The 21,885-nt window shown below is 38.9% G+C and overlaps 1 protein-coding gene across 23 annotated transcripts in view; it reads left to right on the top strand.

Annotated features, from left to right (window-relative positions):
- EPB41L2 (erythrocyte membrane protein band 4.1 like 2) overlaps positions 1-21,885 on the top strand; it is a 223,899-nt gene that overhangs the window by 82,250 nt on the left and 119,764 nt on the right. For 5 of the 23 annotated variants that reach the window (NM_001350313.2, NM_001350310.2, NM_001350306.2 and 2 more), the window contains exon 1: positions 10,657-10,713. The exons of the other annotated variants lie outside the window; for them this stretch is intronic. The gene's annotated coding sequence lies outside the window, so the exon portion shown is untranslated. Of the gene's footprint in view, positions 1-10,656; positions 10,714-21,885 lie in introns of those variants that run through there. 23 annotated transcript variants of the gene reach the window in all.

Raw genomic sequence — 21,885 nt, 5'->3', positions numbered from 1 at the left:
TTTATTTTAAAGATTTTAATTGGTTTTTATTTGCCATTCAAGACTGGAGCAACACCTCATTCTATAAAATAGAATGAATGTCCGATAAGCTGAACAGAGGAAGTTGCTTTTATAGACAGAAAAGAGCTGACGGAAGCAGAAACAGAGAACAAAAGCATGTTGGTTGTTTCAAAGTGACTTTTCTTATAGTGTTAAAACAGAGGGGACTTCCTTATCATGCCTACCCCTTTGGATTGGTTGTTGTGAATTCCTTTCTTCCTTTTTAAACAACTGCCCCGTTTCAGAGTTTAGTTTGATTACCTAGCTCCATTCTGGTGTGGTATGGTCTGCTGGAGCCTAGTGCAGGAGGCTAGTCCAAAACAATGGCCTCCTATAAATTTCATTTAACAAAATGCTCCAAAGTTGTTAGATCCACCCCACCCCTGCCCCTCCCCCAATCTTTCTAGCTTCCTTAAACCCCTTCCTCTCCCAGCCGATGTCTATTTCCCATTACTGTTCTCTTTGGCCTGTGGGGTCAGGATGTTCCTCCTGCTATTGAAGGTTAAACTCTTCTCTGTGGTTTTGATCCTTTTCCTCCATCTTTTTTGAACTACATGCCATTCATTTTCCTTTCTTTCTACTTTGTGTGTTGAACCTCTCCTCTCTATCTCTCCCACCGAAAGACTGCACCAAACAAAAACAGCCTAAACATACATCTCCCCTGAATCCTAGACTTTTTGTAGTTATTACTTGCCTTTTCTTCATTGCTAAACTTCAGATATTAATTTACACTTACCTCTTTCCCTCCCCTCTTCTGATATTTTATCTGTAGCCATTAGATTTTTCTTCTCCTAGCCACTGAACTTGCTCTTTGAGGTTAGTAGCCATCTTATGACCCTTTTAACCCTTATTGTTCCCTGAAGCAATCTGCCCTTGCCCCTGTTGGTCATGCCTCCCCGTTAGACTCTTCTTTCTCGTCAGTAGTTTCTTGTTTTCCTTTCTCTTAATGCTGATCCTTCTTAGCCTCCTTGATAGGTTCTTTGGTCTCTCTGCCTGGAGATTTTTGATGAGCATTTATCCTACTGCTTGTTTTCTCTACAGTTTCATCTACCTCTGATACCATTGATTGGCTGAGCAGTTCCACATTTCAGTCTGGAAACCAGGCTCTGTCATTCAGACACATACCTTCAACCATCTTCGGATTTCCACCTGGATGTCACACATTTTCAGCCCAGATGTATTCAAAGTGGAAGCTTTTCCTTCCTTCCTTTCTGTTTCTTACTTTGTTTGGAAGTCTCTTTCTAACTTCATGGTACCACTATCTAACCTTTGACTCACAGGAACTTGGGAGCTTTATTTTTCATTACTCCCACAATCCAATTAATTATCAAGTCCCATTCATTTTATCCATTAAATATTTATTGATACCATCTCTTCATTTGCATTCTTATTGCTTCTATCTTAGTCTCCTGGATCCCTGGAACATCATCTTAACCAGTTTCCTTTTTTTTTTTTTTTTTTTTTGACAGAGTCTCGCTCCATCATCCAGGCTGGAGTGCAGTGGCACAATCTTGGCTCACTGCAGCCTCCACCTCCTGGGTTCAAGCAATTCTCATGTCTCAGCCTCCCAAGTAGCTGGGATTACAGGCGTGTGCCACTTTTTTTGTATTTTTAGGCTAATTTTTATATTTTTAGGAGAGATGGGGTTTTGCTATGTTGGCCAGGCTGGTCTCAAACTTCCGACCTCAAGTGGTCAACCCACCACAGCCTCCCAAAGTGCTGGGGTGACAGGCATGAAACACCACACCCGGCCAGTCAGTTTCCTTTCATTGTGTCAGTTGGTCTCATGTGGCTGCCAAAGTCATCTTCCAGAAATACAAAGTTAATAGCATTTTCTTATTGCCTGCAGAATAGAGTAAAAACATCTGAGCTTAGCATATTGATCATGCATTATTTGGGTGTTGCTTCCCTTGTCCTGTCTCCTCCACTCCCCACCCCTGTGTTCCAGGCACTTGAAGTTCTCAGTGTTCTCTACAATGCATTTATCTTTCATGATTCTGTGTCCTTCACTTACTGTTCCCACGGTGAAGAGTGTGCTTCTACCCACTTATAATAAGCCCAGTAAGCTCCTTCTTATCCTTCAAGGTCAGGTCAAGTGTCACCTCGGGAAGCATTCTTCCTTCATCAAGTCTGTTAAGTGCTAAATTGTTTATGCTTCCATTATAGCTCTTATTCCCTTTGTAGTTAGCTATTTAAATGCCCTGCTCTCACACTGCTGGAGCCACATTTTATACAGGTCTGTGTCCTCAGCAGCTATCAGCAAGCACAAAGCAATTCCTCATGGAATGAATGGATCTTTACAAAACCCAAAAGTACAGTATTAAAATCAAGATTTCATGGGCAGAGGTAATGGTGAGTATAATGGCTTGATATTAGATATTTTTTATTTATTGTTTTGAGTAGGTGTGGTTGTGGATTGAGAACATCTTGGCACTTGTGGTTAGGATTTTCTAATTCAAATTTAGAGAGTTAGGTTTTGAAAGTGAAGCGACAGAGCTGTAGTCTCAAATTATGGAGAGCTAATAAAGTTATGAAGGACTGGAAGTACACTGGGTTCTCAACAAGTGGCCACACCATTGCAGATCATGTATCAGGCAGAAGGAGGATAGTGAGACAGGTGAAGTGAGGAGAGGGCCCCAGATTGGGGCTGTACCTCCCCACCACACTCTGGGTTTGTAGCTGGGCATTGCTTATTACAATACACCTTAATGTTTCCCCAGCTTGCCCTGGTAGAAGCAGCATTCAACTTTATACAACATGTTTTTTGATAAAAGCTTTGTGTTTACACGTTTGATGTTTATATGGTTCTAGCAGAGCCTCTTGGAATGGTGGTGGCTGTTTTAAAGTAAAGGAGAGAAAAGAAAGAAGGGAAATTATAGGGGATGGGTTAGGTAGGGATAGAATTTTCCTTCTACAAATTGAGAAAGAAATAGATACATTGGATTGGTAGGAAATTATTATACATTAATGTTTGCTTTTTAAAAATAAAGTTAAACCATAATGATACCTTCCACCACTTTTAGGGGAAAAGGCGTAGATGAACCTTTTGACCATGGAAATTCTGTGTTTAACAGTAAATTGCATTCATTTAGTGTTTTGCACTTTACCAGTAGCTATTATGATTCTTTTTTGATCTTTAAAACAATCCCATTATATAGGTAGGTTAGCAGCTGCTACTTTTATGTTATACGTGTAGCTAACTGGCAACATGGGAGCATATCTCAAGCTGTTTGAGGACGTTTGATGTTCCTTAAGGTTAAGAAGAGTAGATAATTTCTTGACAATTGCCCTTTTATTTTTGGAGACTTAGAATTTTGGGGGAGGAGGGAGGTTATGGCATTTTTCATGAGTACAGAAGTTGGAGCAGAGCTGGGGAGCATTGTAGATCTCTTGGATTCCTAGTCTTAGGGCTGTTTTGTTTCTTCTGGCCCTTGGACAACAATGAAGGGTCTCTATTCTTTTTTTCTTTTTTCTCTCCTTAACAGTGTGTCTCCCCTTCTCATCCAGGCAGGACAGTTTGCTACAGGAAAAGGCATTGAGATTATTAGTAAGAATCTGACATCTATCCTGGTGAGATCTTGCTACTGATTTGCTATGTAAATAATCTAACTGCTGGGCCTTAGATTTCCCATCTAATTAAAGGCAAGAGGTAGAGGTACATGAACATTGAGATCCTTTTAGCTCTGAACTACTTTGATTCTTTACAAATTCCATTTTGCTCAGTCATATGTAGAGTATTATACAGCTGCTAGCAAGATTGTTGTTTCTGCTTTGTATGTAGTGGACTTTGTGGTAGGTGCTTTTGTTTTATTTCTTTCATCCCTAAGGCAAGGTGGGTGTCATTATGACCGAGTGGTAGCATCTGCTCCTTCAAAGTGTGAGAGAAGAATGATCTTATAATTGTAAGCTTTATAACGCTTTCTTTGACCACCCAAAGGAGGTGACCATTTCCTTTGTGCCCTTCTTGTACCTCTCTTACAGCCCTTATCACATATGGTGTAATGATTTGTTTATGTGTCTGACTTGCCTGCTAGACTGTAAATGTCCAGTAGATTCTTGTGGGCAAGAACTTTCCCTAGGTCTTTAGGGCCTAGACCAGTGTCTGGTGTAAAGCAGGAATGCAGCACATATTTCTTAGACATAAAATAGAATGAAAATAATACAGTTTAATGTACCTGCTGGATTACTATACTTGTCTGATTGTGTAATTTAAAAAGTGGTGCTTTTGACTTTTGTAGTTAATTAAAAGCAGACAAGAAGGATTTGTTAAGAGTTTTATCCTAATACTTTTTAGATGCTTCCTTGGTTCAAAACAGTAACTTTTTGATTAGAGATTCTCAGCCACCACTCTTTTATTCTTTTGTCCATTTTCCTCCTTCTGTACCTGCTTCCACTTTCTCTCTATACCCCTTGTAAAAATCTGGGGTCATGCAGTATCTTTCTTTCCTAGAGTCCCATAAATCTACAGTACTTTTCAACATTACATCTTAAAAATGTAATTGTTTTTAATGTAATTGAACATATGAGTCTAACATTGCTAAGATGTCTGGTAGGGAAGAAACTTTGCAGGTGACGCATGTGCAGTTGTATACATTATTCTGGTTTAGAGCCTGAGAGAAGTTAAACTGTGGTATGTGGTCAAAGAAGAACTTGCACATTAGAGCCAAGGTGCTAGTGAAAAAAATTAGTTTTTCTGCCTACATCAGATATGTCAGTATCAATGATCCTATGAAATGTGGACCATTTTTAAAAACGTTAAAAAAATTTTATAGACCGACTGGGAAGTTCATTCATATTGAAGAGTCATGAAACTCCTGTCCATGTTTGTTCAGGAAGTAATCTTGCATGACGATTGGTAGATGGGAAGATTGGATTCCCTGTACAATCAGAATAAAAAAAAAGAGTTTTGTTTTGTTTTGTTTTGTTTTTGAGACGGAGTCTTGCTTTGTTGCCCAGGCTGGAGTGCAATGGTGCAATCTTGGTTCACTGCAACCTCCACCTCCCAGGCTCAAGTGATTCTCCTGCCTCAGCCTCCCGACTAGCTGGGATTACAGGCACATGCCACCGCGCCCAGCTAATTTTTTTTTGTATTTTTAGTAGAGACGGGGTTTTACCATGTTGGCCAGGATGGTCTTGAACTCCTGACCTCAGGTGATCCACCCACCTTGGCCTCCCAAAGTGCTGGGATTACAGGCGTGAGCTACCACGCCTGGCCAGAGGTTTTTTACAAAATTTCTTCTGAGTACTTTTTAGGTTATTTTAGTTTTTTTCCAGAAAATTGTGTTGTCTGGTTCTTTTCTTAGTAGGATAGATGATAATCACTTTACAGATGGGGGCTAGATGAGCAGAAGTGAGATAACCAAAAGGAATTCTTCTTCCTCATTGTCTTTTCTGTGATATTGATAACTGTACTTTCTGCCTAGAGTTTGTGTCTCTTAAGGTTTTTGAGCCATGAGTGACTCATCAGATTATTGGGTTCTCTGTATCTTACTCATTCTTTGTCCTCATAAAGTAGGAGGTAGGATGATTTTTAAAAGTCAAATTATGATACTGGGTTTAAGATAAAATTCTGTGTCTACACAAACTCACATACACAAATGTAGGGAAAGTGTTCCCCTCCTAACCTTAACCAACTTCCTTGAATATTTTAAAATTAACTTTTGGAGGATAAACCTAATTTCCTGTTTTAATGAAATAATGAGACATTGTCGAAACATGACCTTTTTTGGTCTTCTCAAAATACATGTAATAGATATAAATTCATATAATAACAATGTTTGAATATTAAGACATTTGTAGATGTTTCCTATATATTTTGTGTACTCAAATGTATTTAAATCATATTGGAAATAAGTAAATGACACTGGACGTGCTTTGTGTACTTCTCTGCTAATAACCCATCAAGTAACCTCACATGTTATTTCACCTCTCTGGGTTCACTTGACTTATCTGGAAAACAAGAGTGTTAAAACGGCTGCCTTGCCAGCCTGGCCAATATGGTGAAACCCCGTCTCTCCTAAAAATAACAAAAATTAGCCAGGTGTGGTGGCGGGCACCTGTAGTCCCAGGTACTCGGGAGGCTGAGGCAGGAGAATCGCTTGAACTCGGGAGCCTGAGGCAGAAGAATCACTTGAACCTGGGAGGCAGAGGTTGTAGTGAACTGAGATCGCGCCACTGTACTCCAGCCTGGGAGTCAGAGCAAGACTCCATCTCAAAAAAAAAAAAAAAAAAAAAAAAAAGAAAAGAAAAGAAAAAAGAGGCTGCCTTAGTGGAAAAGTCTATTGGCTTTGAGGGCAGACCAAATTGATGTGAATTTTGGCTCTACCACTCATAAGTGGGTATATGAGTTTGAGATTCAATTTCTCTAGGTTCTAATAGTCTAATTTTTAAATTCACTCTATTAATAGTTCTCTTTCAAAATCATAGTGCCACAAAACTCATTCTCTCTGAATTCTCCCAACGTTTTTTTGAACAATGAGATTCACAGGTCTCCTGAGTAGGATCTTTTGAAGCCAGGGAGGAGCTGAGCAGTAGCATTGGGTTCCATAGCTAAGAAGTAGGCATCTTAGCTCGTGCTGCCATAATAAAATACCATAGACTGGGTGACTTACACAACAGGTACTTATTTCTCACAGTTACTCTAAGTTGTAGAATTTCTGGTAAGGGCTCTTCTTTGCTTACTGACAACTGCCTTCTACTGTGCCCTTCATGGTAGAGAGAGAATGAGAGACTGCACAAGTTCTCTGGTGCTTCTTTTTATGAGTACACTGATTTCATCATGAGGGCCCCACCCTCATGACCTTATCTAAACCTATCTCCCAAAGCTCCTACCTCCATCACATTGTGGGTTAGATTTAACATAGGAATTTTAGGGTGATGCAATTCAGTTTATAGCAGTAGGAGAGTAAGAGAGTAAGAGAAGAGAGCAGGAGACACAGGGGTGTTAAGAAATGCGTAGGATGGACCAGAAGATCTACCACTGTTGAATTCATAGGGCCCAGTGCTGCTATAGGTTAGAAGTTTTCACATTTCTGGATTACATGGAGTTACAAATTTCAGAAAAAAGGTTGAAAGTGTGAACCCTGAATACCTGACGACATGTGCCCATGGTGGTCAGAGCACAGTTTGGTTTTATACATTTTAGGGAGACAGGAAACATCAGTCAACATATGTAAGATGAACATTGATTTGATCTAGAAAGGCAGTGGGGAGGGGGCTTCCTGGTCACAGGTAGATAAGAGACAAATGGTTGCATTCTTCTGAGTTTCTGATTAGCCTCTCCAAAAGAGGCAATCGGATATGCATTTATCTCAGTGAGCAGAGGGGTGACTTTGAATAGAAAGGAAGGAGGCAGGTTTGCCCTAAGCAGTTCCTAGCTTGACTTTTCCCTTTAGCTTAGTGACTTGGGGGCCTCAAGATTTATTTTCCTTTCACAAAGGCAATATTTTTCCAAGTTAAGTATATTGTAACAAATTTACAGTTACACTAGCAGTATTTATTAAAAAACACATTTAACATAAAAAGGTGGGAAGAACTTAATCTGCATAAGGGATGATGCTCTGAATTGAATAAAATTGGCTCTACTAAAAAACTCACCAAATTGCCCCTTTGTGAACCAATGAAAACTTTATGATGGGTAGTAAAATTTACTTCCACTATGTAGAATGACTTAAAAAAAAAAAAAGTTTTGTGTCTGCCCATTTTGACAAAGATGAATATCTCTTCAGAGGTGCCATGGAAACTTTTACCAAAATAAAATTTTTAAAAAAGTGAAAAAGTGAAGAAGAGAAGTGAAGACTTCCATCAAGTCTTCCCATTAAGCAAACCTTACTTTTTAAAATTTTTTATTTTTTTTGAGATGGAGCCACTCAGGCTGGAGTGCAATGGCACGATCTCGGCTCACTGCAACCTCCGCCTCCCGGGTTCAAGCGATTCTTCTGCCTCAGACTCCCGAGTAGCTGGGATTACAGGCGTGCGCCACCACACCCGGCTGTTTTTTTTTTTTTTTTTTTTTTTTTTGTATCTTTAGTAGAGATGGGGTTTCACCATGGTGGCCAGGCTGGTTTCGAATCCCTGACCTCGTGATCCACCCACCTTGGCCTCACAAAGTGCTGGGATTACATTACAGGCGTGAGCCACCACGCCTGGCTGCAAACCTTACTTTTTCTGCTAGTTGGTACTGGTGACATCTTGTTTATCTGTTAATAAATATCTAAAGCATTTTCTTTGCGATTTACAAGAGACCCATTAAAGACTTTGCTGTAGGTGAATGTGAACAGATAATTACTACTGCTTTGCAGGAGAGTAACACAGTAGTTGGGTAAAGCTGTAGAAATGCACAAGTGCACTTATAGTCTATCTGAGTCCTGAATTGTCAAGGCAAATATGTGTGTTGGGAAAAAAAAAAACCCAGAATTTAAATTGTGGAAATGTAAAGGGTGGTTGGTACTGTAGAGTTAAGGAACATTAGTTATTTCTCAGATTGTGCTGAGCTGAATCTTAGAATTGACACATTTTCTTTTAGTGACTTTACATTTATGTTGCTTCCATATTTCTTTAGAGTCATATGATAGGTGGATGTAGTATTATCTTATTTTTAGTCATTTCTCCTTTTTTTTTTTTTTTTTTTTTTTGAGATGGAGTCTCATTCTGCTGCCCAGGCTGGAGTGCAATGGCGCAATCTTGGCTTACTGCAACCTCCACCTCCTGAGTTCAAGCAATTCTCCTGCCTCAGCCTCCTGAGTAGCTGGGACCACAGGCATGCGCTACGACACCCTGCCAATTTTTGTATTTTTAGTAGAAATGGGGTTTTGCCATGTTGGCCAGGCTGGTCTAGAACTCTTGATCTCAAGTGATTCGTCCACATCGGCCTCACAAAATTCTGGTGTTACAGGCATGAGCTACTGGACCTGGCCATTTTTAGTCATGTCTCAATTTAGGATTGAAATATGAAACAAGGATTTAACAGCTTTATAGCTACATCACGGTAACTATACTATCTAGGTTAAAATGCACCTCCATTTTTATGTACAGGTTGAATGAATAGACATTCTTGTATAAATGAGTTGAAATGAATATTTTATTTTTTAATGTTGAAATATGGATGATATATTTGCAGTTTTTCTATATCTGAAAGTTTGTCTATAGTAATTTATAGATAAAAATGAGTAGGCTGTACAGTAGGCCTCCCCTTATTCATAGTTTTGCTTTCTGCAGTTCAGTTACCTGCAGTCATCTGTGGTCTGAAAATATTACATGGAAAATTCCAGAAACAAGCGATTCATAAGTTTTCAGTTGCAAACCATTTTTAGTAGCATGATGAAATAATCACACTCTCTGCTCCATCCTGTGCAGGATGTGAATTATCCATTTGCCCAGTGGCTCCATGTTGTAGAAGCAGCCACTTGTCAGTTACTTAGTAGCCGGCTTGGTGATCAGACTGACTATCGTGATATCACAGTGCTTGTGTTCAAATCACCCTTATTCTACGTAATAAAAGTACAAGAATAGTGATAGTGGCCATTTGAATATGTCAAAGAGAAGCCATCAGGTGCTTCCGTTAAGTGAAAAGGGGAAAGTTCTTAAGGAAAAGGAAAAAAATCGCATGCTGAGGTTGCTAAGATCTATGGTAAGAACCTAATCTTCAACCTGTGAAATTGTGAAAAAAGAAAAATAAATTTGTGCTAGTTTGGCTGTCGCACCTCAAACTGCAAAAGTTATGGCCACAGTGCATAAGTGCTTAGTTAGGATGTAACAGGGTGGCCGGACGCGGTGGCTCACACCTGTAATCCCAACATTTTGGGAGGCCAAGGCAGAATGATCACTTGAGTCCTGGAGTTGGAGATCAGCCTGGTCTGTAACATAGTGAGACTCTATCTCTACAAAAACGTAAAAAAATCAGCTGGGCGTGGCAGTGCATGCCTGTGGTCCCAGCTACTTGAGAGGCTGGGGTGGGAGTGGGAGGATTGTTTGAGCCCAGGAGGTCGAGGCTGCAGTGAGCCATGAGTGTGCCACTGCACTCCAGCCTGGGTGACAGGGTGAGACCCTGTCTCTGAAAATAAGTAAGAAAATTTAAAAAGTACAAGGCATTAAATTTGTGGGTGGAAGACATGAACAGAAGAAACACATTCCAATTGATGAGTTGGGTTTGGTACTGTCAATGGTTTCAGGCATTTACTGGGCTTCTTTCCCCGAGGATAAGGGGGACTACTTTATGTTGTGTACATATACTTTTGGTGTCTATTCTGGGATGAATTAAAATGACAAAAATAAAAACAAAGTTGCAGGATGGAGACTCAAAGCAAAGCAAAAGTCATAACCAGGAAAACTAAATGAGAAAAAATCTCAGGATAGAAGAATTTTATAAAAATTATAGAATTACAGTTGTGTCATTAAAACTGGTTTCTATGCCGAAGGTTCTTCATTCAGTGGGTAAAACAGGCAGCAGGAAGCTGACTTTTTTCTTTGACCCATGTGCATTTTCTAGCTGAGGAATGAAGTGACTTGGAACCAAACTGGGCTTTTCTACTGAGCATGTCCCTCTCCAGCAGGGTCTGGCTTGGGTGGAGCCAGTCTTGCTCGTTAAGCTTTTGGACGCTGGATTTCCATCAGCTTTCCACAGTTTTCCAATGACAGGAAATAGCAGACAGCGGGCTTGATGTGCTTAAAAGCTGCGTATGTATTTCAAGGGGGGCGATTATTAGGACATTTTTGTTGCAGTGGTTGGGTTTTGTGATACATGCTTGTTTGTTTCTGCTTGTGGAGGAAGTTTGCTATTGAAAGTGTGACTAGTCAGGGGACTGAAAATTAGGAAAATACTAATGTACAGAGTAGATGGAATCTGGGTACGTACACTGTTTCGCAAGGGAATATGTTGTGATATTTGAACTAAGCCCTGTGAAAAATACATTTTTCCATTGGGCCGAGTTTAGTTTTAGATGACTTGTTTGCATTTTTCTAGGCAAATGTTGACTTTTGTCAGGCTATCTTTAACATGATAGCTTTTTCAGGTTTGACCTATGAGAATAATGAAGCTAGTTGGTTTCTTTTATATGCTTGTCTGGTTGTTTCACAATTTTTTCAGTGGTATGACATAATACTGTACAAAATCAGTATGATATTATTTCTGGAAGCACAGTGAGGACTATGTAAGGTTAATAGTGTGCAGTTACTTTCTTTTTAGCATCTTAAAGAGTAATAACTTTCAATTTACTTATAAAGTGCTTCATTTTCACCCTAACTTGTTTGATTAAAAGAAGTTGTACTGTAGCTATCAGAGATTTGAGTTCACAGTTTTTAGCTAATAATCTGTAGATTATTAGCCATTAACAGTTACCAAAGTCTGGTTATTGGTTTGATATTGTCACACCCTAAGTAAATACTGATAGAATAAGAATAGGTATCAACATCTTCTTTTATTACTGAATATTTAATTGGTTGTCACATTGAATAAATGTGAAAATGCATATTGCCCAGATTCTGACATCCAGACTTGGGAAAAAATCTTCTTGCGTGTTCTTTATATAATCTAACAGTCTAGCAGTCTTTAAAAAGATCCTTGCTTCATTGCGACTTACTGACAAAATGAAAAACAGGGCCACTGTAATTAGCAGATGACCTCTGCGATTCCTTTTTTATTGTTGACACTGTTAGGGATGCTCTATATCACTGAAGTATTTATGGTATTTTGAGGGGGGTACATGTGTACTTGGGAAGTTTAAGTTTTCCATTTTTTTTTTTGTCACAAGGAAGAATTGTCTCTTCAAATTATTTGCAACGTGGGTGTGGGTGCTGAATAAATGATAACTGTTGAGGTGATGCTGATGACCTGGACAGCCAATCATCCCCCACATCTGCTTTGTAGTGTTCCTGTACGGATGATATAATATATTGGTGATCTATAGTTTAGTATCATAGCAGGATCACAAGGAAAGTTACATTGGAAAGGTAAATTTTAAACTTTGACGTTGGTTTTGCTTGCATTTTTTGGTGGACTCCAGACGTTGAATGCCTGACATATTCTCCAGCATGATTCTCTACCAAATCACTTTTGCAAATGTTGAACTTCAAGAATTTTACCTCTAAAAAAACAAATACATTTCACTGAAGTAAAAACGTATTCTAGCCACCACCACCTAAAAATAGTTATTTGAAGTTCTTGCTAAGTAGTTCTGAACTAAGTGAATCCTCGGAGTAGAAATACTTAACTTTAAAAAAAAAAAAAAAAGGTTTTATAGCACTCCAAATGGCATGTCTGTAATTCCATTGTAGTTACAGCTTTTCCCGCCGAGGGAAAGTTGCTCTTATCAAGCCAGGCTTGGAGGGTCCATAATTTGGATACTCTCTGGCACCTTCTGCTGATCAGCCAGTGGACTGGGGCCAACATTTGGATATGCTTGCTTAAGCTAGAAGTGTCATTCAGTTTATAGTCTTAGTTTTTAGAATATATGCTATGTATTGGTAGAACTCTTTAGTAGTGCTATAATTACTTAAAATGGCAGAAGAACTAACGGCCAAAATTTAAAAAGTGAATTATATTTTTTTATGAGGTTTAGGTATTTATGCCTGTTGACTACAGCATTCCAAAGCTTATAGAGAAGAGGATTTGAAAGTATGAGATCAGTGTAGGCTCCAGCTTGGTGGACTTGTCATAGTGTGGGGGAGTTGATTGACTTTGACAAGCTTTTGTCTTATGACCTATTAAAATGCAGCGTCTGCAGCCTGTGCGTTTATCCTGTGCAGTTAACCTTGGTGGATTTGTCGTTTGCTTATTTGGGAAATGCCTCTTGTACCACTACTGTTATTTTTTTGAGTTTGATTCACACAGAAATAGTATTAGACTGGTTGTTGATTACTGTTGGATACCAAGTGGGCACGAGTTTTATGATGGGGCTGAGGAGCCATTTTATGCATAAGATAGTTGTGGGGTGAGCTTAGGAAAAATAGACTCGCTGGCATCTGTCATGATCATGGGAGTTTGTTGGTATTGGCCGTGCTCTGGTTTGAGCTTGGTTATGATGTCACTGGAATAAACTGCACGTTAGCATTTTTTTTTCTATAGAGCATTAATAGGGGGGTGGCCCAAATAAATGTTCCCTAAATACTAGGAACATCACAAAAGATATTTATCAGGAAGCCACTGGATGCAAACACTGTGCTAGGAACATGTAGTTGTTTTATCTGCACAAAAGCTTTACCCTCTTCATATGAATATAGTAGCAGATGGGCAGGGAAGAGGTGTGGACAGGAAACTGATGACAAGCTTGTGCTTTCAGGCCAATTTTATTCCTGCTTTTCCCTGTGAGGAGGAAGCTGCTGAAAGAGATTGGGGAATGTTTATGTATGACCAGCTTAGACATTTAATAGGACTCTTCCCATTCTGTTTACTCTGCCTTTAAAAAAAAATGTCCCCAACTTTCAGAGAACTCTATTTCCAAGTGCCCCATTCCCAGCCCTCCAGCAGAGAATACGAATAATCTTTTTACGCTGCCTGCATATGCACCGGTATTATTGTTAGCAAAAGCCAGTTGTTTGTTTCAAGTCCACACTGAGGAAAAAAGGATAAAAAACAAGCAACGTTTTCTCAGGAACTGTAATTGACTCTTGAACAACATGAGCCCACACTGCATAGGTCCACTTATATGTGAGTTTTTTTTTCAGTAAATCTAATCAGCCCTCCATATAGGCAACTTCTGTATCTGCAACCAAATTCAGGTTGAAAATAACTGTGTTTGTAGGGTGCTAAACTTGGATATAGATGGCTGACTTTTCCTGTCCACAGGTTCGGTAAGGCTGACAGCAGGACTTGAGTATGTGTGGATTTGGGTATCTGTGGACCAATCCCCCACAGATACTGAGGGACAACTGTATTTTTTTAAATGAAGAACTGATACACTTCTTAAAAAAAATGTTGCTGCACTAAAAGCTTGGGTGTTGAGCTTAAACTACTTAGGGGAACAATCTAGATTGGGGGTAAGTGGTGGGTTTGTGAAATATACTGAAGTGAAGGCTGGCAGAAATCAGATTCTTTGAGGATATAGAAACAGTCTTAACCTTCATACGCTAGGAAATCCAAAGCTTAGGCCATCTTAATGCTACTGCTGAGCTGGAGTCGATGTTCATTTGTGTGGCTAGAGCTGTGTGACAAGGCAAATTGGCATCGTGGCTTGTGGGAGTCATATTGGCACGTGTTGTCTCCAAGGAAGCTGGCTAACCAAGCTGGGTTCACTTAATGCATAAATATTGTTCTCCTAGTAAAGTACTTAAGTGTTTAAGTTTATGAAAACTTCTGTTCATTAAAAACATTGTCTCCCATATCTGTACCTCGGCAGTCATCTACCCAGCACCACCCTCCATTCCCCATAATCACTGTTGTTACTCTCTTGCATTCTTCCCCAGTTTCTTTACTCATTTAAAGGAAAATGTGTGTGTGTATGTGTGCATATTCACATATGCATATTCGCATCCTTTATTTGTGTATCTCCCACACGCTTTGCTTTCAACCTATAAGATGTGATGTCTGTATAAGGTATCCTATCCATATAAAGTGACCTATCACTTATACCGTCTGAATCTTGCTGTTTGTACTTAACAATGTACTTAATAATTGGAGTTATTATCCCAAGTGGGGCGGCAGCCTTTCTCATCTTTTCTCTTTACAGTTGCATAGTATTTTGTTGTATGAATGTGTGGTATAAGACCCCCTGTTGATGGACATGGATCCTGAGCTTTTACAGTGTTGTAGTGAGTCACCTTTACATAATTATTTTACATATGCACAGATATATCTGTAGGATACCTTACCACAAGCTTGTCCAACCTGTGGCCTGCAGGCCGCAGGAGGCCCAGGAAAGCTTTGAATCCTGCCCAACACAAATTTGTAAACTTTCTTAGATCATTATTAGATTTTTTTTTTGCAATTTTTTTTTTAAAGCTCATCAGCTATTGTTAGTGTATTTTATGTGTGGCCCAAGACATTCTTCTTCTTCCATTGTGGCCCAGGGAAGCCACAAGATTGGACACCCCTGCATTACCACAAGCAGGATTACTAGTTTAAAGTGTGGACACATTTGGAATTTTGAAAGCTATTGGCAAATTGACTTCCACTGGGCCCATACCAGTTTATTCTTCTGCTAGCAATTGTTTGAGAATGCCTGCATTCCCATAGTCTTGCTCAATGAGTGCATGATTAAACTTTTGGATGTCTCCATTCTGAATTTTTAGTTTCATTTCTTTTACTAAGAGTGTGACAAGTACCTCTTCATATGTTTATGTGCCACTTGTGTTTCTTTCTTTCTTTTTTTTTTTTTTTTTGATAACTGTTTATCCATTGGCCACTTTCCCCACCATTGGACCGATGATTTAAATTGGCCTAGCCAAAAATTTAAAAATAAAATTTGTTTTTTATTTTTTTGATGTTGAGGCAACTTACACCAGACTTGTTTTATTGGGCTTTTTTATTCAAGTTACTTGAATTCAGATAGAGACCAAATAAAATTGAGAAGGAGAATTAGTCCTCTCCAAAAATCATGTAATGACTATTTTGTATGTTATGAGTGTTTAACCAGTATTTCCTATGAAGGACCATTCATTGTGTGATTTCCTGAAGAGATAACAAGAAAATCGTGGCTGCTTTTCAAACTAGTAGTAATTTTTAAATCTAAATTACCAAGATTTATGAATTGGTTACAAGTTGTTTGACTATGAATGCTAATCTTATTACCTATGTCTCCCACTATACTGAGAGCAGGATTCTTTCATCTGTATTACTGGTGCCTGGTGCATATGCTTTGAGAGTACTCAATAAACACTTGTCTTGAAAGAAGGGGATAAGATACTGACCCCACTCACATCCTGATGGTCACTAAAATTCATGAGGGGTGGTCCATTAGAACATGCTGCTAATGATTATAAAGCCCCAAAAGGTAGTGGTAATTATCAGTTTCACTTTTCAGCAAATCATTAACTGTCGGGCATCATGCTAGGTGCAAGTTATATAGTAGTGAAGTCGTTTTGGGATTGAAGGCAGTGTTGTACAAGGTCTTTAGAGCTGGACGGCCTGGGTTTGAATTCTGGCACTTCTCTTTATTGGTTATATGGCTTTGACCAACCCATCTATCCTCTTTTTACCTTCTTCATCTGTAACATGAGAATAATTTCAGTTCCTTCCTAGAAGAGTTGAGAAGGTTCGAGTTGCTGCATGCCATGTTTCTAGAGCAGTGTTTAACAAATAGCTGATATTATCATGATTATTTCTGTTGTGATTACTGTTATTACTACCATTATTATTATTATTATTATTTTAGTAAACAAATATAGTTATTTTCTTGGCAGAATCTCTATGTGATGACAGTAGCTGATCATTTATTATGAATTTATTATGTGCCAGGCACTTTATGTATTATAGCATCTAATCTAATGCTTAGAATCAACCAGTGAGTACATTTTGTATCCTTTTTTTTTTTTGCTTATGAGGAAGCTGAAACTCAGCAAGGCTAAAATAACTTGTCTGCGGTTACATGGCTAATAAGCAGAGCTGAAATTCTAATCCTGTTTTATTTCACAGTCTTCATCTCCAAGCCACCAGGCTATTTTATTCAGACATAGGTAACTTCTCACAGAAAGAATATAGCTTCAGGCTGGGCGCAGTGGTTCATGCCTGTAATCCCAGCATTTTGGGAGACTGAGGCGGGTGGATCACTTGAGGTCAGGAGTTTGAGACCAGCCAGGCCAACATGGTGAAACCCCATCTCTACTAAAAATACAAAAATTAGCCGGGCATGGTGGCATGCACCTGTAATCCCAGCTACTTGGGAGGCTGAGGCAGGAGAGTCGCTTGAACCCGGCAGGCGGAGATTGCAGTGAGCTGATATCATGCCATGGCACTTCAGCCCTGGGCGACAGAGGGAGACTTCGTGTGAAAAAAAAAAAAGGAAAAGAAAAGAAAGAATATAGCTTCAGCTTTGATTATTACACAGAATTGGGCCTCTACCTGAGAGAAGGAATTAGAGCAGATGCAGTTCACCAAGATTTCTGACCATACAACTCAGTGTGCATAATTGATTGATGAGAACTCAGCAGGGTTCTGGATGTCTCTAGATAATCTCTGCTAGTGTGTGTTGTTGGATTGCCAGTATTACAAGGTTTATATGCATTATGGTTATGTGAATAAAAATACCCAATATTAGAGTCCTTCATGATTTATATATGGCCTCTGGTTGTTTAGCTTTAACTTCAGGAAATCGTATCTATTTCCAAGATTGCCTTAGTTGCTGGTGGAGAATGCTTTGCCTGGCACAGGTCTTTTTCTTGTCTCCATCCTTAGTGACAGCAGTAGGGGCTTTCTTTCAACAAAGAAGATTGTTACCTTGATTGTTATTGCAACTGGATGTTATTGAAAATTATGCCTTAGTTTTCATATACCCCTGTCTCCAACATATGAAGAAAGGGACTCATATGTTGATAAAGTAAGATTTTTTTTGGTTTCATTCTTATTTAGAGTTGTTAGAGTAAAGAATTAGTGATTTATCTCACTAATATTAACTCAAGTATTAGGTTTTTAAAAATTGAACATCATTTGGAAAAAATGGAATACTTTGACAACCATAGCTCTTAGTTATGAGGGTTGTAAAATGCAGTGGGAGTAATAATGACCCAAGATCTATATGTACTCTCAGTTTCTTAATCCTTATTTTCTAATGCTCTCCTCAGAATATGCAGAAGTCAACATCAAGATGTTTTTGACTACAAGTAACTGAATCCCTGGCTCATTGAGCCAGAGAGGAGTATGTGATTTCACAAACAGGAAGCTCCAGCACAGGACTGGGCCATGTGTGGCGCGATCAAGGAGCTGGTCCTCTTCTCTGTGATTCTCTTGCCAGTGTCCTTTGTTGTGTGTCAGTGTGTCATCAGGCTTATTCTTCTCTGTGGATTCAAGATGACAACAGCATTTAACAGAGTTATGTATACAATGTTCAGAGACAGCAGAAGGGGCCTCCTCTTCCTCTGGCTCTTTTTAGAGGGAGAGATCCTTTTCCAGAAGCCCACCAGTGGACTTCGTGCATATTTTCTTGCCAAGGGGTGGGAGACTACCATGATTGCCCTAGACCAATAGAAGCTACCCTTGAGGCCAATCTGGAGCTAGCCTCTATTGAAACACATGTGGAAGGGGGGAAAGTGGAACAAAATTTAGGTTCTATTAAAAAGGAGAAAGAGTGGAAGAAATATATCTGAATGTCACCTGATCCCATCTAGACTTGAACTAGGGAAGATTGTAGTTCATATGTTTTGTATGTGTGGGTTTAATTTAAACCGGATATTAGTTTACATCTTTATAGTAATAGCTCTGTCTAATAGGTCCCTTATCCTTTTAAAAATAAATAAACAAGTGATATAGTGGGTTATAAAGGTAACTAGGGTGAGCAGCATTGGATTACTTGTTCATCCTCCCCATATAGATAATATGAACTAACAAATAGTCCCTTTGGAATGTATTTATACTTACTTGAATATGAAGTATGGTATTTTCTAGACCATCTGACACTTAAGAAACATAAACCTGTGAGGGTAAGGACTTACTTGCACTCTGCTCTAAGTCTGCCTGTTTTTGTTATTCCTTCTTCCTCTCCAGATATTTCTTCTTCCTTGTTCCCCTTCCCACCCCACTTCCTCCTTCCCCTCTGCCCCACCTCTCCTGCCTCTTCCCCTTCTCCTTTTAAATGATGAATATATTTGAGAAGCATCACCTCTTTATTTCCCAAGTAGAGTTAGGTGGCTGCTGAATCATTTCTACATTTGTTTTTTTTCCCTCACGTTTGATGGCATCAAATAGTGCATTATTAAAAGACCTTCTCTTTCAATAGCTATAGGCCCTTCGGGGAGGTGAACATACAAGCACGTGATTGTGGGTATCAGCAGGATGCTCTACATATCCTCTACCCACAAGCAGATGAAAACTAGTTTTATCCGATGTAGAAAATGGCCAGAACTGTCTACACATTGCCAATATGTTTTAAGTTCAATGGTTATTTGTTGCAAAGTTTTGTTGTTTTCTCAAAGCTCAAATGAAAGCCTCCCTCCATCCTCTTGCTACCATTTTTGAAGCTTAGAAATACATACCTTCCCATTTTGTGAATCTTGGATCCTTACAAAATGGGTTGAGCTCTCTTGGTAGAAATTAAAGACTCTCATATTGCTTGTGATCTCAGCAAAGAATGGGAGCTACTCAGCTGGCAGCAGCACCTACCCTGTTCCCTGCTCAGGGGTTTTGTTAACAGTAAGGTCCCAGTTTCCTCAATGTTTTAAGGAAACATCTGAACCCAAGAATTAGCATGAACCCCTTGCTTGAAGTTGTTTGTGTGTTTGTGAGGTTGTGTATCTGCTTTGCTTTGCTTGCTGTAGTATTCTGATTAAGGGCCAATGTTTTAAGTAGCATGATGTTATATGGTTGGCAGTTCAGCCTAGTGATAGAGATAGCACATTAGAATTTACCTCCTTTTTTAAACGTTGGAAAAAAAAGAATGGGTTTATGTAACACAGCTCCTTACCTAACCAGTACTGATCCTCTATTGATGATGGTTTTCTGCTTCATTGCATGTTAAATGATGCATGCTTTTTCTCATGAAGCTGTCACAATGACGAACACTTTTATCAACCCAGATGGAGCATGCCAACATGGTAATTGTGTCAAAACCACATGCTTGTCTAATGGGCGGGCTGTTCACAGCAGTGTTCTTTTTAGTTGATGATAAGTAGAAAGATCATTACTTAATGTATTATATAACTATACTAATGATGGATTTTGGGTAATTATAATTAAATATTAGTCAATGAGCATTGCCAGAGTTTGGGAAACCTTAGTTCCAGTTTTGGCTTGCCCATCTGACTTTACCATCTCAGGCAAATCTCCTGGTCTTTCTGATCCTCAGTTTGGTTGTTGATAAAATAAAGTGAGGATATTAGACTAGATGATTGAACAATACTCATTTAGTAAGTACTTAATAGATACCTATTATGTGCCAGTCTAGATGCTGGGAACATAGCAGTATATAAAAGAGAGATCCCAGCCCTCATGGAGTTTTCATTTTAGTGGGAATGTCAGCATTCCACTACAAGAGTTCTCATTTTCATGGGTGATAGAGTTTAAAGGCTTATCCACATATGAAAGAAACTCAGGGTTATAGGCATGATAATTAGGGTGAGTGGATGTACTGTAATCATGTTTTCTTGATGGTGGTAATTTGTTCAAGAAGCCATTTTATCAACAAAGAAGGTAGTGTTTTGTTTTGAGCTCTGTTGAACTCTTGAAACTGTTTCAAGAATATGTTGAGTAATGATCCAATTAGTCTTTTCCATTGTTTTCTGTCTTGTAACTTCCATTTGGATGGGTGACACTGATCATCACTTTTGAGGCTCTTAACCCTTATGGGTGTTGTGAATACAGTGGTGATTGAGGATGACTTCGTGAGGCTTAACCATATGGTTTTGTCGGTGCTCTTCCTGTCTGTATTTGTACTTTGTCTTCAGTGTCTGTCAACCAGCTCAGTTATGATTACATGGTCAAGCAATAACGTACAAATGGGATTTTCTTTGTTATTTAAATTCATCTATAAATTTCTTACTTTTAAGAGAGAATATTTTGAATAAATCTGAGAATACATTTATGTTATTTCATAGTCATTTTCACTAACTGGCAGGAACCTTCTTTGAGTACTAGGCCAAGGACTCTGTGGTTGAGTAGGTCATTCGTGCATAATGGAGCTGTGATTGCATTATGAAGTGTGTGTGAGGGAAGGTATACACAGCTGTGTGGTTCTCCATTAGTGGCTTTGGATAAGTGACTACTGTTTATTATTTGTAAAACAGGGATAATACATACTTTGTAGAATATTTTGAGAAACAGATTATGGGCACTGTGTCAGACAGTAAACAGTGAGTGGAAACCCTTATGATTAAAATATAAACAACTATTAATGCTTTTAACATAATAGTGGAAACTCAAGTTTTATATTTCACTGCTTCTAAAATATTTTGGCCAAAAATCAGCCTTAGTTGATTGGTTCCCAGACTATTTCTCACAGCCAAAGTAATTAGAGAGCTGCCAATTTATCTTGGTTAGCTTAGACAAGTATGGGGCATTTTGGTTTTAATTTTACCAGGACATTTATTCAGCTCTCAGAATGTAATTAGAGAGCATATACTAGAAATACACTTTGGTTATTTCATGATTAAAGTAAATAATATTGTCCACTTAAATAGTACATGGGAAATGGTATGTTAAAGAAGGAAAAAAGGTTTTCTGTGCAATATGGAGCCAGTTTACCTGTCCTCGGGTCTTGCTGGAAGACATACTTTTGAATTTCAGATGCCTGAGAATGAGAAGCAGCAAAGAATATGTGGGTATAATAGTTAACTATTCCCTCTTACGTAGCATTGCTGTCAGGGATATTACTGTCTCCTGATCTCCCTGCCTCACTACATATTTCTTCTGGCCCTCATGCCTTTTCTTCTGCCTCACCTTATATGTTGATGGTGATAAGAGCTCTTTTAAGGATCCTCTCAGTTTAAGCTACCCTTTTTCTCTAGGTGATGTATCCCCATGTGATGACAACATCCAAACCCTATCTCTAGTGTGTATCTAGTCTCCAATCAAAACCTGTGTGTCTTGGGGTCATCTAGACATCTCCACAACCTCTCAATCACAATGAATTCAAAATTGAATTATATGTGTCAGCCAGACCCACTTTTACAGGTGTTCCCCATTTCCATGAATGGTTCTACCATCACCCTAGTCTTCCTTGACCTGGGCCTTTTCCTTAGCTCTTTCCTCTCTTTGACTTTCTATATTCA

This window comes from Homo sapiens, chromosome 6 (assembly GCF_000001405.40).
Source record: "Homo sapiens chromosome 6, GRCh38.p14 Primary Assembly".
Lineage (NCBI taxonomy): Eukaryota > Metazoa > Chordata > Mammalia > Primates > Hominidae > Homo > Homo sapiens.
Note: the sequence above shows the minus strand (reverse complement) of the source record. Positions and strands in the feature narration are given on the sequence as shown.